This window comes from Homo sapiens, chromosome 3 (genome assembly GCF_000001405.40).
Source record: "Homo sapiens chromosome 3, GRCh38.p14 Primary Assembly".
Taxonomy (NCBI): domain Eukaryota; kingdom Metazoa; phylum Chordata; class Mammalia; order Primates; family Hominidae; genus Homo; species Homo sapiens.
Window position 1 is genome coordinate 4,429,846 of NC_000003.12, and position 18,344 is coordinate 4,448,189.

The 18,344-nt window shown below is 39.6% G+C and overlaps 1 protein-coding gene across 13 annotated transcripts in view, besides 1 other annotated feature; it reads right to left on the reverse strand.

The window, feature by feature from the left end:
• SUMF1 (sulfatase modifying factor 1) overlaps positions 1-18,344 on the reverse strand; it is a 432,784-nt gene that overhangs the window by 395,360 nt on the left and 19,080 nt on the right. Inside the window, exon 4 of one of the 13 annotated variants that reach the window (XM_047448026.1) lies at positions 14,007-15,793. The exons of the other annotated variants lie outside the window; for them this stretch is intronic. Coding sequence (XP_047303982.1) covers positions 15,656-15,793 — 138 coding nt within the window. The 3' untranslated portion in view covers positions 14,007-15,655. Of the gene's footprint in view, positions 1-14,006; positions 15,794-18,344 lie in introns of those variants that run through there. 13 annotated transcript variants of the gene reach the window in all.
• Positions 2,154-2,940: an enhancer, noted in NCBI's record as "OCT4-NANOG hESC enhancer chr3:4473683-4474469 (GRCh37/hg19 assembly coordinates)". NCBI's record gives its function as "activates a minimal SCP1, AML or CMV promoter by ChIP-STARR-seq in naive and primed H9 embryonic stem cells {active_cell/tissue: H9 hESC(naive and primed)}" and the evidence as "EXISTENCE:reporter gene assay evidence [ECO:0000049][PMID:30033119]".

An 18,344-nucleotide genomic window follows, 5' to 3' on the forward strand; every position in this document is an offset into this window, starting at 1 on the left:
GCACATCTCATCTCACCGGGCAGCAGAACACTGCACCAGTGGCAAGGTGGTGACTGCTGATTCTCCTGCTGGTGGAGGCAAACTATGCAGGGAACATTTGCATACTTTTAAAGGATTTTAAAAGTATGCTTTTAAAGGACTTTAAAGGTGGGAAGGATCTGAGAAGATATCTACTGAAATTCCCTCATTTTATAAATGGGAAAATAGGCCCTGAAAAGCGGCAGATAGTGGCAGAGCCAGGAAAATAACCCACGGCTGCAGGGTTACAATTCAGAACTTTTTCCACTATTCAAGCACTTCCCAACAGCTGTTTCCTGACAGTTTTCCATAAGATGGTAGTAGGTACGGAGAATAAAAGGTTCCCACCATCAAAGGAGTCACAGTAGTTAGGAAAGCACTGGGTTACTCAAAGTTAAACTAATTTTTAATTGCAGGACTTCTGAGAATCTTATCAAGTGTATGGTAAGTCTTGAGTAACGGGACAGATAGTAGGCACTTGAGCCAAGTGGCTAATTCTGGGTGCCAATTTTGGCTCTCCTATTACATCACTAGCCATGTAATGTTGGTTGGACAAGTGACTTTCCTCTCTGAGCCTCAGTTTCCTCAATCAGTAAAATTAGTATACTATGAAAATTTCTCATATAGGCTCGCTAGGAGGATATACCATAACAAGCACTCAACATGTAGTTAGGTATATGTGGGTAATGGCACATGACTACGAATCTATAGAATAGGTTCATGATGCTATCTACGCATTCCGCAAATACTTGGTGAGCATCTTCTCTATGCCACTCCTGTGCTAGCCCCCGGGGATACAGAACCAAAGTACATCATTGAGAAGGGAAGACAAACAAGCAGATGATTTCAAGCCTGTTCTAAGTACTGTGGCCAAGAGAAGCTCAATGAGCTATGGGAGCCAAAGGTGGGGCACCCAATCAAAGTCAGGGGGGTGATGCCCTGACAGTGCTTCCTGCGGGAGGTAAGAAGGAGGAGCAAGTAAGGCAGGGCAGGAGTGGGAAGGGCATTCCACACAGGAGGCCACCTGTATTACAGGTGTACTTGAACTAATCCAGAAAACTTGGGCATCAACATTTTTTGTTAAATAAAATGTACCAAAGATCTTCAGAACCTTAGATCTGGAAGGATGCCAAAAAGTTACTTGATTTTAACCTGTACCTAAAAGCATCCCCTCTATAGTGTCTCTAGGATGAACAGAAATAAGGTAGGATGAATACCATTCCCTATTTGACAAGGGAAGTCCAGATTTATACCTGTTGATAGTGGGAGGAGGCAGACAAATGCCTAGGCAAATAGAGATGGGTCAATGGTGAAACCCCACCTCCAAGTGGAAGACAGTTTAAAGCCTGAAAGCCAAGCTTTAAGTCAAAGCCACAGACCGGATTGAGAACCTGCCTTCCCATTTGGCACACTTTCCTCTGATTGATCCCCATCCTTCACTAATTTTACATATACCTACCCTTTCCTAATTGGTTTTCTACACTGCCATGCCCACCTTTGAGTGGTGTCTTTGCTTTAGCCTTTCTTTGCATACACACAAACCAATCAGCATGCATTCCCCTATTCTGAGCCCATAAAAGCCCTGCACTCAGCCACACTGAGAGAGAAACCACCCAACTGTGGGAATGGGGGACCACCCCCATGTCCCCTCTCCACTGAGAGCTGTTGCGTCGCTCAATAAAATTTTTCTCCGCCCTCCTCACTCTTTGATTGTCAGCATATCCTCATTCTTCTTGGATGTGAGACAAGAGCTTGGGACCCACTGAATATTGGAGCAGAAAAGGCTGTAACATCATGGCCCTCTGCCCTTCACCGGCACAGAGCAGCCACCCCACATGACAGAAATGGTGGTGAGGCCAAGCTAGCCCTGAAGTCACAGACCAAGGTGGGGCAAGGGCATTGCTAGCAAGGTATCTCCGGCTGGCAAAAGTGATTGAGAAAAGTCCTAAGTCAGTATTATCCAAGCATAATTAAGAGCATCCCATTTCGCTGTCAAAAGTGTCTTGATTTGGACAATAAATTATGAAGTCAGTCTATGAATAGATGGTCCCACAGTCTCAGCTTGAACAATTTGGGTGACAGATATCACTTCCTGGTAGGCAGTCCCTGTCATGTTCAGATCATTCTAACAGAGTTCCCAATCTATAGCTAAACTGAAATCTGTCTCCTGGAGACCTTCCCTCTGCTGTCCCTTTCTAGGTTCCCAGGGATCAGATGGAATAGATCAAGTTCTTTTTCCATCATCTTTCAGACATTTGTAGAATAATCATAACTCATTCACCTCTTAGTCTTTAGGTTCAGTAATTTATTCAACCTTTCCCAGGAACTCCAATCTCAAATTAAGGGCATCACCATCTCCCCAAAACCCAGGAGTCATACTAGATTCCTGTCTTTTCTTTTCTCTCTATGCTTTCAGAGGTACTTCCAAATATCAGATCACTTCTTAGCTTCTCTCTTCCTACCACCTGGTTCCTCAGACCCATCATCTCTCACCAGGACTATCACAAAACCCCATACAGAACCAGAGTGGTCTCTTTAAAATGTTAATTAGATCCAATGGCTTCTAACTGTGTTTCAGATGAAAACCAAACACCTTTGAGGCCTACAAAGCTCTATGTAATCCAACCCTGCCTACTTCTCCAACCTAACCCTGACCCTACATCACAGTCCCCCTTGTTCCTCAATCCCTCCCTACTGGTCATGCTAGCCTTGCTCATTGTTTAGATTTCAGCTCAGATGTCATCACCTCAGAGAGACCATCACCAATCCTATAAATAAAAGACCCAAGAGCACAACTGCATTATACTCTAATCATTTTCTATCCATTATTCTGTTTTATTTGAATCGCAGTCCGTCATCACAGTCAGTTATAAATTTACCTGTTTAGAGTCTGTTCCTTATTAGAATTATAACCTCCATGAGAATAAGGATTTAGATCTAGTTATCTGTTGTATCTATGGCACTTAAAACACAACCTAGCCCCTAGTACATACTGGATAAACATTATTTTTCATGAAAAAAGTCCTCTGTTCCTTAGGTTTGCATGATTTCCAAACCCCACCCCACCCCTGGGTGACCCTCTTCCGCATAAACATCAATTTTAAATAGTCTTTCAGTGGGATATCCTTTTGTGCCACTTCGTGGGCCATTGTTGCCTCATCTATAAGATTTTTTGCCAGATAATTCTGAAAGTTTCATCCATTCCAAATTCTTATTTTTGCATAAGTTTCTCTTAAAGCTAGACATCCCTCAGCATGACTCTCTACTCAACAGTTTACCTTTGTTTTCCCACAGAGGCCGACGATACAGAGTCCAATATTCGAGGGGCAGGGAACATCAGAATCATTGTTACCTCTTAATCTAAGTTAGGCCTCAAAAGAACCAAGACATGAAAAGAAATTTAAGGTCACATTAAACAGGTATTTCAAATCTGCACCTCTGGGACCCCAGCATGCCTCACACACACTCATTCAGATCAGGTGTCTTGGAGCAGGTTAGAAAAAAATATTGTGTGCCCTGTTATCCTATTATATTAGGTTCTCACCTTCCAGGGTTATCATGTTTTGCTTCCTGAGCTTATGCCACACACTGGCTCCTAAGTCAAGTGAACAACTACTCTTTTCAAAAAAAGACACAAAAGACAGTGTTACCTTCTTATCTCATCTAGTCAGCCAGCCCTGGCCTGCCCTTCCCGAATAACTCAGTTACCGTGAACCCACCTTCACCCTGTTGACGGGGCCAGTGTTCTCTCCCCAAGGAAAAGCTGACTTTACAACATGAAATGGGTCATACCAGGTCTGAGCCCTGCTGCTTTCAAAAACTAAATGCTCCCATAGATGATATTCAAATGGCATTCTTTCACATTTTGGCATAGTACCTGGAAGACAGTGGGACATCTAGAGTTGTATGCTGAACACACAGACCACATCTTAAGCCAGAAAGCAAATTGTCACAGAAGGAATTAGACTCACTTCCATCACTAGAAGTCAAAGAACACACCCCACTGATGGATAACAGACCTCAAGAAGGCATGAATACAAATGACAGGTCAAGAGATATGTCACCATACATATCCAGAACAAGTGAAAGCAGGGGTTCGAAGGAAGGACATTCTGATACATACTACAACATGGATGAACCTTGAGGACGTGATGCTGAGTGAAGTAAGTCAGGCACAAAAGGACAAGGATTCCACTTACGTGAGGTACTTAGAATAGGAGAATTCACAGAGGCTCAAAGTACAATGGAGGTCACCAGAGGCTGAAGAGTTATTGTTTAATGAGCATACAGCTTCTGTTTATAATGATGAAAAAGTTCTGGAAATGCATAATGTTGATGGTTGTATAACACTGTTAATGTACTTAGTGCCACTGAATTTTATGCTTAAAAATGGTTAAAATGGTAAATTTTATGTTATGTATAGTGTACCATACACACACATACAAAGTATGTTATTAGTATATTCCTCCAGCCAAGGCTTCTAAGATAATCTAAGAGGATTTATTTCATAGTAAATTTCACAATTTGGTATTCCACAATAGTAAATCTTTTCAAAACATCATTGTAGCTTGGCAGAATGCTATATGAGGCATTACCAAATCTTATAAATGCGCAACAGTAAAGGAAATTTAACTTAATTTTCAATTATATCAAGCAAAGAGATAGTCCACTGGAAGAAACTAGAACAATGTCATTTACTAAAAGGCCTTCTATGTGCTAGGTACTGTACCAGGTGGTACTGTATACATTACTTGATTTGGTCTTTGTAACAGCTCTATGGGGTAGCATTATTATAAGAGATTGATTAAAACAAGTAAAATACTAGTGAATAAAAAACTACAATGTTGTGCTGGCATGAAAAAAATGAATGAACAGAGTTGCAGAATGATCACGAGCTTTAGGTGAGACAAAACTTACAGTCTGTTCCTAACCAGGTTGATTTTGCTGGAAAAAAAAATTCCCTAGAGAATTGTAACAAGCCCCAGAGACCCGATACTGGAGGGAAAAGAATATGAACAGATGCCAACCCCAAGATGACCCAGAAGTTGGAATTATCAAAGACTTTATTTTTTAAATTTTCTTGAGACACACTTTCACTCTGTTGCCCAGGTTGGAGTGCAGTGGCGTGATCTCAGCTCACTGCAACCTCCGCCACCCAGGTTCAAGTGATTCTTATGTCTCAGCCTCCCAAGTAGCTGGGATTACAGGCTGCACCACCACACCCGGCTGATTTTTGTATTTTTAGTAGAGATGGGGTTTCACCACGTTAGCCAGGCTGGTCTTGAACTCCTAACCTCAGGTGATCCGCCCACCTCGGCCGCCCAAAGTGCTGGGACTACAGGCTTGAGCCACCGGGCCCAGACAAAGACTTTAAAGGAGCTATTACAATCATCGGCTATGAAGCAAAGGTGAATGGTCTCGAATGGAAAGATAAGAGCTCTCAGAGAAAATAGGGAACCTGAAGACATATCAACAGAAGGTACACAATCTGAAGAACACAGAGAAAAGACTACTTTAAAATAATGAACAAGCCTAAGGAACCTCTGGGATACTATCAAAAGGTCTAACATTTATGCACTGGAGTCCCAAAAAGAGAGGAGAGATTGGTGTTTAAAAAAAGTGAAATAATATCTGAAAAAATCCCAAATATGATTAAAAACATAAATGGACACATACAAGAATCTCAAGAAACCCCAAATAGGATAATCCCTAAGAAAACATGTCCAAATGCATCATCATCAAACTGTTGAAGATAAAAAATTTTTTAAACTTGAAGGAAGACATAAAATAATGCCACAATACATGTAAGAGAAGTGTTTGAAATGACTGTCATCAGCAATCATGTAGACCAGAAAAGATTGTGAATCAACATTTGTAAAGTGATGAAAGAAAGGACCTGCCAGCTCAGAAAATTCCCTTCAGGAATGAAGGTGAAATAAAAACATCAGATGAAGAAAAACTAAGAGAATTCATTACCATAAGGCTTACTCTAAAAAAAGTACTACAGGAAGTTTTATTTTAGGCTGAAGAGAAATGATACCAGAAGGAAACATGGAACTTTAGGAATGAAGGAAGAGCAACAGAAATGGTTTGGATAAATATAACAGACTATTTTTCTTCTTTAAAATATGTACGAGGCGGGGTGCAGTGATGCACATCGATAATCCCAGCAGTTTGGGAGGCCAAGGTGGGAGGATCACTTGAGGCCAGGAGTTTGAGACCAGCCTGGGCAACATGGCGAAACCCCATCTCTATTTTTAAAAAGTAAATAAATAAATTAAATTAAATATGTATGAGTATTGCAAGAAAAACAGCAGAACATAGTCTAGGTTTTTTCCAATGTATGTACATGTAATATATGACAACTCTAACACAGGGGATGGGGTAGTAGAGTCTATATGGTTATAGGACACATTTACTTAAAGTGTTAAAATGTTAACACTATAATGTCAGTTGTTATGTACGTATATTATATTGTAATCCTTAGAGCTACCACTAAAAATAATACTAAAGATATAGCCAAATAGACAACAGAATTACAATGGAATACTGAATACATATAGACATAGATATAGATATAAACAAAAACATTCAAAAGTGAGGTTAAGAGACATTGGAAGATGGAGTGAGGAGGTCTAGCCAACATCTAATTGGAGTTTCAGAGGAAAATAAGTGAGAATAGAGAAAGGGCAATATTCAAAAAAATAATGGTTAAGAGTAGAGCAGAGTTGTTAATTAAAAAAAAAAAAACTTCCCAATGTATGGGTTAAAGAAGAAATTATAATGGACATTAGAAAATATTTAGCAATAAGCAATTGCAAAACTATTAACTGTAGCTCCACAAACACTTGCAGAACTCATGAAGGAGATTAACATGCTACAGATCCTGGAAACCCAGTGAAACTCAAGCAGGATAAATACAAGAAATCAACACCTAGAATAATAAAGACAGGAGATAACCTTAAAATCAGCCAGAGCTGCATCACCTAAAAAAAAAAAAATACAAAAAACAAAAAACAAAAAAAACCCAACTGACTAATGACTGACTTCTTAAAGGCAATAATAAATACCAGAAGACAGTGAAATAATGCCTTTAGTGTGCCAAAGAAAATAACTTCCAACCTAAAATTTTTACTTAGTGAAAGTATCTTTCAAAAATGAGGTACTTAAAGATATTTCAAATAACAAGAAAGTTTACTACCAACGGATATCCTTTAGGCAGAAGAGAAATTGATCTCAGACAGAATCCCTGAGACGCAGAAAGGAATGGAGAGTACAGATATTAGTAATTATAGGAGTAAAGAAATACTGACTACATAAAAAAGTATTAACCATGTCTAATTAGTGGAGGAAGAAAACAAATTAGAATGAAAGAGTGGACACCAGTAATACGTAAGTTGGATAACGATGACTAGAGTAAGGTCATGGGATTATTCAACAGAAAAGTTAATGGAATAATAAATGTTAAACTTTATACTCAAGTATTAAAATTGATTAACTACTAAATGAGGAGATATAAAGTATATGACTTCTAAGAAGACAAGCACAGTTGGAATAAGAAAAATAAAACACAGGCCAGAAATTGAGGAAAAAGAAGAGACAAAAACAGAATAAGCAGAAGGCAAAGAATAAGATGGTAGAATTAAATCCAAAAATGTCAATAGCCACAATAAATATAAAAGAACTAAAGTCTTAACTGAAAGACAAAGAATGCATTACTTTCAAATGCAGCTATATATTATTTACAATGATATACCCAAAAACATAAAGATACAAATTAAAAGTGAAAAGAAGGCTGGGCACGGTGGCTCACACCTGTAATCTCAGCACTTTGGGAGGCTGAGGTAGGGGGATCACTTGAGTTCAGGAGTTCGAGATCAGCCTGGCCATCATGGTGAAACCCCATTTCTACTAAAAATACAAAAATTAGCTGGGCGTGGTGGTGCACTCCTGTAATTCTAGCTACTTGGGAGACTGAGGCAGGAGAATCTCTTAAACCCTGGAGGCAGAGATTGCAGTGAGCTGAGATCGTGCCACTGCGCTCCAGCCTGGGCAACAGGGCAAGACTGTCTCAAAACACAAAAATAAAATAAAAAAATAAAATGAAAGTGAAAAAAAGAAAAAGTATATATTAGACAAATACTAACCAAAAGAAAGCTTGTACACCTATATAGTAGATACCAGACAAAATAGACTTTAAGATAAAAATCATTATCAAAGTAAAAGAGAATCTCTATATAATAAAATGTTCAATTCAATGGTAAGACATGCTTTTCTTACTATTTTAATTATTTCATTTTATAAATAGCATAAAAACTTTTTTCTCATAAAAATATTTCAATATTAATTTCAATAGCTATAAGAGCAAAAAAAAAAAAAGATCTCATAGAAATACATAGATTAAAAAGAAAGATGCACCTCATTAATGACAAAGATTCTCTCCTTGACTAAACTCTAATGAGGCTCCTCTGAACTCTCCTTTCAACTAGGCCCTGAGTTTTGGGCTTCCAAGCTCATCTCTGCATTGTCCAGCTGCACCAAGAATCCTGCTAAGTCAGTTTGCCTACCCTCAAATGTGTGATCACCCTTGATATCTGATCAAACTCCTCATCCTTCCCAGTCCCCCAGGTGATGTCTGATCACACTGACCTGCCTTCAGCAAGAATCCTGTTAGGCCAGTTGAGCCAGAACCCCTACTTACCTCTGATGTTTCCTCTTAGTAATTTTTCATCTGAGGAAGACATACTTCCAAACTTACATACGCTTAGTAACATAGCTTTAATATATATAAAGCAAAACTTGACAGAATCACTAAGAGAAATTATCAAATCTATCATCTTAAATGGAGATTTTAACAACACTCTCAGCAATTACTAAGATCAAGCAGAAGGGAAAAATTAGTAAGGATATAGAAAATTTGCACAGCAAAATTAACAACTTCCTATAATGGATATGTATAGAATATTGCACCCAATTAATATAAAAAATTATTTTCAAATACACGATTTATTTATGAAAGTTGACCCCTGGTAGGTGCTAAAGACAGCCCCAACACATTTCAGGGACCAATATCATAAGGGCCACATTCTCTGATTACAGCCTCATTGAGTTAGATCTCAGGACCAAATGATAGCAAAATAGCTGCACGCTAAAAAGTAAAAATCTTATAAACTATGTGTTAAAGAAGAAATGATAATGGACATTAGAAAACATTTAGAAATAAACAATTACAAAACTACTATAACACTTGTGGAACTAAAGTGGTCACTTAGACATATGCAGACTAAAATGTTTACATTAGCAAAGAAGACTCAACAATTTTAAACTATGTATTAAACTTAAGAAGTCAAAAAAAGAATAGCAAAGAAGTTAAGTGAGGCCGGGTGTGGTGGCTCAACGCCTGTAATGCCAGCACTTTAGGAGGCTGAGGCAGGCGGATCGCTTGAACTCAGGAGTTTGGGAACAGCCTGGGCAACACAGCAAAACTCCATCTCTACAAAAAAATACAAAAATTAGCCGGGTGTGGTGGGCGCACTCCTATAGTCCCAGCTACTCGAGAGGCAGAGGTGGGAGGATGGCTTGAGCCCAGGAGGTCAAGGATGCTGTGAGCAGAGATTACACCACTGAACTCCAGCCTGGGTGACAGAGCCAAACCCTGTCTCAAAAAAAAAAAGTTAAGTGGCTTTTCCCAAAATCATTTGATAAATGGCAGAGCTGAGATTCAAAACCAAATCTCTCTCACTCAAAGGCTATCTTTTCCTTATGACTTTTCCAAATAAACAAGTGGGTTTGGGCAAGAAAAGTCTTAGTGGTCTCATAAGAGAAAAAAAAATCTTTCTTAAATTTCTTTTTATTTTTTAATTTTTATTTTTTTTTTAATATTAGAGATGAGCTTTCAGTATGTCTCAAACTGGTCTCAAACTCCTGGCCTCAAGCAATCCTCCGACGTCAACCTCCCAAAGGGCTGGCAGAAGCCACTGCACCCAGCCAAGAAAAAAAACTCTTAAAGCAGAATTGAAGTTTTCAAGATGGTGTTGCTTAAACTACTAGAAAACTAAAAGTTCAAACATTCAAAATGATGCTGAGCAGGCTGGGCATGGTGGCTCATGCTTGTAATCCCAGCACTTTGGGAGGCCGAGGCGGGTGGATCACGTGAGGTCAGAAATTCGAGACCAGCCTAGCCAACATGGTGAAACCCCGTCTCTACTAAAAATACAAAAAAATTAGCTGGGCTTGGTGGCGGGAGCCTATAATCCCAGCTACTTGGGAGGCTGAGGCAGGAGAATCACTTGAACCCAGGAGGCAGAGGTTGGTTGCAGTGAGCTGAGATCATCACACCACTGCACTCCAGCCTGGGCAACAAGAGCGAGACTCTGTCTCAAAAAAAAAAAAAAAAAAAAAGATACTGAGCTATTTATCTGACTTACATGTGTTTTGAGTTATTTTAATTTACTTTTCCTATGTACTGAAACTTGCCCTTCTGAATACTTTCTGGCTTAGTTTACATTGAAGTTAACTTAGTAAAGCTTTTCTAAAAATTATTTTGGGGAGTGTGACCTTAGAATTCCGCTGGACCTCAAGGCATTTCTCATTACAACCCACACACATTCAGGTAACTGGATCGCATCCTTATTAACAGTTCTCTTTCTAGTTTAGAGTTGTCGTGCAGTTGTGATTAAATAACAGCGGGTCAGACTGCATTATTCTTTGCCTTCTGTCCCAGTCCAGTGTCATCCAAATAACAAAGCACCCAGCACCACTTGGGCAGGATATGACTGCCTAGAAATTAGTTTTTACTGCAGGGGGAAAAAAGATGCTTGGTAATTCTCATCCTTCAATGAAAGTGACTTTCAGTTGAAAGAACTTAAAATAGCCTACTCCTCTCATTTGTCAAGGATACTTAGTCAGGAATTTGTTTCCTTAAACTGTTGATCCAGAAAGTGCCAAGCTACAAATGAAGAGAGAATCCTTGTTCCTCAAGCTCCCACCAACAGCAACTGTTTTCTACCCAGCCTATGGCTATCCCTTGTGTCAAAGTTTTACGAGTCATATTAATAACACAATTATGAAATCAAAACAGTCTTTATCTTAAATACTGGAAGTATATCTTAAATACTATCCTTTTTTTCAAGAAAGGAGGGTTATCTATAGCAAGGGTCCCCAACCCCTGGACCACAAACCAGTACTGGTCTGTGGCCTATTGGGAACCGGGCCAAACAGCAGGAGGTGAGTGGCAGGCGAGCAAGCAAAGCTTCATCTGTATTTACAGCCCGCTCCTCGTTGTTTGCGTTACCACCTGAGCTCTGCCTCCTGTCAGATCAGTAGCGGCATTAGATCCTCATAGGAGTGTGAATCCTGTTGTGAAGAGCTCATGTGAGGGATCTGGGTTGCTGGCTCCTTGTAAGAATCTAATGCCTGATGATCTCTCACTGTCTCCCATCACCCCCAGATGGGACTGCATAGTTGCAAGAAAACAAGCTCTGGGCTCCCACTGATTCTACATTATGGTGAGTTGTATCATTATTTCATTATATATTGCAATGTAATAATAATATAAATAAAGTACACAATAAATATAATTTGCTTCAAACATCCCAAAACCATCCCCTCCCCTGCCCCACATCCGAGGAAAAACTGTCTTCCACAAAACCAGTCCCTTGTGCCAAAAAGGTTGGGGACTGCTGATCTGTAGTATAATATCCCCCCAAAAAACAAACACTGCTACAATAGCAAAACTTGCCTTAATCCCTTCTGGGACTTAATATCTATACCTTTTAAGATTCTTGTCTCAAATTAAACGTCCAAATAATAATCATGAGTAATTCATGATTAATTCATGATTATTACTTCGATAATAATACTCTGTTTTAAACCATTAAATTCACCAGTTTAAGATATTTTTACACACAAACTCTGAAAGCTAGCTCAATGTTTTACCTCAAAACTACATAAAAAGAAAACTAGCTGAGATGGCAACAGCATCAGCAAAGCTTTTGAATCTCGCCTCTCTACGTATAAAACCAGACAGAACAACTAGAGAGCAATACCCAAAACCCAGGAACAATGTGCACAGCAAATCCATGTGACAAAGTATCCTCACCAAACCCAGAACGCAAACAGGTGAAGAAAAACCGCCAACGGCCATACAACCTGCATGGTGTCTGTGGCTGGGCAGTGGTTGGGCAGGAGAAAGAAAAGAAAGCAACAGGAAATCAGACCTGTGAAAAGGAAAATCCCAAAAGAGCCAACAGGCATTACTGGAAAGCATGGAGGGACAGTTTGACAACAGTAGCTCACACTGGAAGGAATTTTGCCCACTCCAATAAGGAGTAGGTTTAAGGGGCCCATGGTAAGAACGTGTGAAGGCACTCAAACAGTTGTGCACCATGAACTCTTTTTTTTTTTTTTTTGAGACGGAGTCTCGCTCTGTCGCCCAGGCTGGAGTGCGGTGGCGCGATCTCGGCTCACTGCAAGCTCCGCCTCCCGGGTTCACGCCATTCTCCTGCCTCAGCCTCCCGAGTAGCTGGGACTACAGGCGCCCAACACCACGCCCGGCTAATTTTTTTTTTGTATTTTTAGTAGAGACGGGGTTTCACCGTTTTAGCCGGGATGGTCTCGATCTCCTGACCTCGTGATCCGCCCGCCTCGGCCTCCCCACCATGAACTCTTGAAACTGACCTGCCAGGGTTCCCTTCCAGAATAGAGCCTCACACCAAGGAGAAATCTCAAGAGACAAAACCAAACTCCTGAAATAGAGGGACAAGAGAGAAAAAGGAAAAAAAAAAAAAAGAGAGAGAAAAAGGAAAGAGAAGTAGTGGAGGAGGGGAAGAAATCCAGGACATCTCAGAAGACAGGAGGCCATCGTTTAAACACTATGTTGAGAACAACTAAGAGGGAGTTCAGTGAAGTTACAAAGCTACCCTGAACCATGTCTCTTTCTAAAAGTTCAGAAAAACTGAGTTCAAATGCAAATGAGCAACAGAAAAGACTCAAGCTCAAATGCAATCCAAATTTCTATAAGAAGTAAGAGAAGAAGCAGCAGAACAACATCCTTATGAATAACAAATGCAGTCAGGAAGAAATGCTCAAAAAAAAAAAAAAATCACAACATGGTGTTTTAAAATGAGGTAGGCCGGGCATGGTGGCTCATGTCTGTAATCCTAGCACTTTGGGAGGCCAAGGCAGATGGATCACCTGAACTCAGGAGATCGAGACCAGTCTGAGCAACATGACAAAACCCTGTCTCTGTTAAAAAATACAAAACATTAGCCGGGCGTGGTGGCGGGCCCCTGTAATCCCAGCTACTCAGGAGGATGGGGCAGGAGAATTGCTTGAGCCCAGTAGGTGGAGGGTACAGTGAGCCAAGATTGCACACCGCACTCTAGCCTTGGTGACAGAGCCAGACTCTGTCTCAAAAAATAAAAATTTAAAAAATGAGGTAAATGGCATGAAGAAAATGATGCAAGAGAGAACAAAATAAATCAGAATCCACAAACTCAGATGAGGTAGAGAAGTCAAGTAGCAACTAGAAATAAAATAAAAAGTCATTTCAGAAATAAACAGATAATTAAAAGACACAGAAGACAAAAGAGAAGAAAAAATTAAAATAAAAAGAAGAGGCCAGGCATGGTGGCTGATGCACGTAATATCAGCACTTTGGGAGGCTGAGGTGGAAGGATTGCTTGAGCCCAGGAGTTTGAGACCAGCCTGGGCAAAATAGTGAGACATCATCTCTACTAAAAATCAAAACAATTAGCCAGGTGTGGTGGCATGTGCCTGTTGTCCCCACTACTTGGGTGGCTGAGGTGGGAGCATCACTTCAGCCCAGGAAGTCAAGGCTGCAGTGAGCCAAGATCGTGCCACTGCACTCCAGCCAGTGTGACACAGCAAGACCCCTTCTCAAAAAAAGAAAAAGAAAAAAGAGAGAGAAAAAAATGATTAAAAAGAAAGTGATAAACACTGAAAATGGGTAAAAAGAATTATGTAAAGAAAGATATAAGAAGTTCCTAAAGAATAAAACAAAAGGACACACAAAATAGTAAAAAGTATAACAGAAAAATTTCCTGAAGTTTAAAAAAAAATTGTGAAACTAGATATTGAAAGCTTCTACCCCATACCTGAGAATACTGACCCAATGACAAACACCAACACACAGTCTAGTGAAATCACTGGATACTAAAGAACAAGAAAAAGGAAAATCGTTGGGTATTCAGGCAAAAACAACTAATTTTCAAGGGAAAAAAATCAGATTACCATCAGGCTTTTCAATAGCAATGCTTTATTCCAAAAGAAAAAAAATAAAGTATGTGAGCTACTCAAGAAAAATAAATGTGAACCAAAGATTTCATATCCAGAAAAGTTGACTTTAAAGTATAAAGAGCACTAACAAACTGTTATCAACGGGCAAAAACTCAGGGCATATTGTTCCCATGGCCACTTCCTGAAGAATCTAGTTGAGAATGAGCTTGATCAATTCAAATGACTAGAGAGACATGATCACAGAGAGTATTAAACATGTATAGTCACTTGTAGAACTGAGATTAGTTGAGAGCTAAAATGGAAAGAGTACTCTCTATAATGGACATATGTTTCAATAATACAGAAATAGTACAGTATTTTAAAACTAGGGGAGAAACAGGAAAAGCATATATAAATGTTTGGGAGTTTTAAAAACCTATTCTCAGTAATTACACTGGGGATGGTAGCATTAGTATTATTGAGACCACTGTGTATGTAACCTGGGATAAAATAAATGCGTGATTATAGACTAGTCTATCATCCCCTGTGTCCTTGAAAACCAGTATTCCTGCTGTGGAAGAAAGGAGATAGATGTAATACAGAACAGGTTAAACTAAAAATCACAAAATGGAAGTATCAGTGTATACTCATTTTGGCATTTTATCTCAGTCTGTCCACTGCAGAGGCCTAGAAACAATGACCAACCTAATAGCAATGAGCATACCCAGGGCCTAGACAGGGTCCTCGAAATACTGTTTTCTACTACAAGATACTAGAGCTTCTTAAAGAAATGGCTTTAAGGATGAGGGGTAGGGGAGGGAGCAGATCTTGGCCTCACAAAAAGCAAAGCTATGAAGCCATGAAGCCATGAAGGACTACTAGGACTGAAGCACTGCTAGGACTCAGGACAGTTGCTTAAAGCTGGGGATGGGAATCGGTAATGACCACAAATGGGCATGTGGTTTCTTTTAGGGCTGATAGATATGTTCTAAAATTAGATTGTAATGATATAGATAAATTTTTGATACAACCCCAAAATAAGTGAGTTGTATCAATGGTCAGCTTTCTAGTTGTGAAACTGGACTATATAAAAAATATGGAATTATACACTTAGTATGGTAAAACCTATGGTATGTAAATTACATCTCAATAAAGCTGTTGGAAAAAAAGATATGCCCAAACCTTCAAAAGGGATCATGGTTTCAGTGTAAAATAAAATATGGCTTGTTTTTGTTTTGTTTTGTTTTCTCCCCAGAGACAGGGTCTCACTCTGTCACCCAGCCTGGAGTACAATGGTGCCATCACAGCTCACTGAAACCTCGAACTCCTGGGCTCAAGTGATCCTCCCACCTCAGTCTCCTAAGTAGCTAGGACTATGAACACATGCTACCATACCTGGCTAATTTTTTGTATTTTTTGTAGAGATGGGGTCTCTCTCTCTCTCTCTTGCCCAGGCTGGTCTTGAACTCCTGGCCTCAGGTGAACATCCTGCTTCGGCTTCCCAAAGTGCTGGGATTGTGGGCATGAGCCACCATGCCTGGCCATAAAATATATTTAAATCCATGAGTTCATGAAGACTTTTTTAAATCCAGTGATTACACAAATCTACATTTGTGGCAAAATTGTACAGAACTAAATATATACACAGACACACAAATGAATAATATAAAACTGGTGAAATCAGACAAAAACAAGTGGGTCATATGAATGCTCAATTTTCCAGCTGTGAAACCGTACTATAGTTATATAAGATGGTACCATTGGAGGAAACTGGGTGAAAGGTACACCAGATCTCTCTGTATTATTTCTTACACTGCATGAGAACATATAATTATCTTAAGATGAAATATTTAATCAAAAAATACTCTAATTGGTCACCTTTGAAGAACAGTAGGGAACCAATTCATTATCTTAAAAGCTAGTAAAGAATCAAGCATTTATCCTATCTGTCCTGTATGACCTGCAACAATGGTTAAGAAATAGTAGATGATGGAACTATCTCTTTATGAAAGTATCTCCATTAATAAATGAAAAAGATTAGATTATCACCATCTAATATGGTTTGGCTGAGTCCCCATCCAAATCTCATCTTGAATTATAGCTCCAATAATCCCACCTGTCATGGGAGGGACTCAGTGGGAGGTAACTGAATCATGGGAGCAGGTTTTCCTGTGCTGTTGCCATGATAGTAAATAAGTCTCACGAGATCTGATGGTTTTATAAAGGGCAGCTCCCCTGCACAAACTCTCTTCCCTGCCACCACGTAAAACGTGCATTTGTTCCTCCTTCACCTTCAGCCATGATTATGAGGCCTCTCCAGTCATGTGGAACTGTGAGTCCATTAAACCTCTTTTTCTTTATAAATTACCCAATCTTGGGCATGTCTTTATTAGCAGCACGAGAAGAGACTAATACACCATCTTATGATAGCCCCCAATGGATTAATGGATTAGGTACTAAGCATCAACAGCCGCTAACATTATAAAAAGAAGAAGCACCAGACATCAGGTGCCTCATGGGGAAAGAACCCACCAATTATCTGATGTCTTACTGTAGGGTTCAAACCTGAGTCTGATCACACCTGGGGATCCAGCTACCAACTTGCAGGAAATACAGAGGACAGAGAGAACAGATGAACTGCACCATGACAGGGCATTCAGCAAAATCCAGACTGCAGGAAAGTCTCCAGGCTAAATGTCCTAGATTCTTCAATAGATAAATCATTGTAGGAAAAACTAGGGGGTAAGGGGAAGCAACACAATGAAAGGGAAACCTGTAGAAGAGTCTTAAAAGACACAAATTTCCTTTAAATTAGCAAGATTAAACTTTGCATGTACACCTGGGTAATAATATTATAAAGAAATGCAAAGAAGTGTCTACTTTGAGAAGCAGGGTACTGGCTACTTTAGGGACAGAGAGGGGTGATGATTAGGATGTGGCACCTGGATGGGGCTGCTGGGGTAGGCAGAAAAATTCTAATTCTGGACCTGGGTAATGCTTACAGGTACGTTCACCTTAGGATAACTCAGTAAGCTGTACATTTGTGTTGTGTGATTTTCTGTATTTGTCTTATTTTACCAAAAAAAGATTTTTTTAAAAAAAAAGGAGAATTTATCTCGCTTTTATAACCTGTCATAAATAGAATGCAACACTTAAAATAATTACATGAAAATAAACCATATTATTAACTAGCTGTGGTAGCCTGAGGACACTTCCAAGGCCTCTTCTATGTTAAAAGGAGAGTAAAAGTGTAGTCAAGTACTAAGGATATGCTAGCACTCAAACTTGCAAGATTCAGGTCTTTCTTTCTAACTTAATCAAGTCTTGAAAGACACCTAAAAGGAAAGTGCTTTCTCACTATGTGATTCAGTGAGATTGGAGGCTTGCCAATCTACCACCCAAAATCATCTCCCCTACTGCTCAAATTTACCTCGTAGGCCAACTCACATCTTACTCTTCTGGAGACACTGGGTTACAAAAAAAAAAAGGTCTGGTGCAGTGAATGAAGGTAAGTCAGACCTTATGAGGAGGATGAAAAAACAAAAACTTAGCTCTCCCTGATCATTGACACATTTATGTTACTTGTTCAGCCCTTTCTAAATAAGCTTAAAAGGTTTGCTTTTCCATTATCAGCAGTTAAGCAAGTGACCAACACTACAACCCAGTGAGAGCTGCCTGTCCTCATCCTAGTCACAAGCACACACACTTTACTATGTACTCAACAGGCACCTTCACAGCCTAGCAATGACCCACCTCTGTCTTCATACCTAATGTGTTTGGAGGTTCTCAAGTGACAAGAGGCCCTGTATCTGAAAAGGCAAATTACAAAAATAAGCGCAAACGCCCACCCTCACCTGAACTCAGTATCTTAAAATAAGGCACATGTCCCAAGCTGCTGGCTAATCAACACCAGCCTCAACTGACCTCAAAGCCCTTTAAAAAAAAAAGTAGGGCGGAGGGGAATATCAGATTACATATTAGACTTATAAACTTGTAAGGAGCAAAGAAAGCTGTGAAATTCGAATGGAGCTCAATCACATTTTTCAAACATTTATCTAAAACACATATTAAAAAGTGGCTCAATTCAC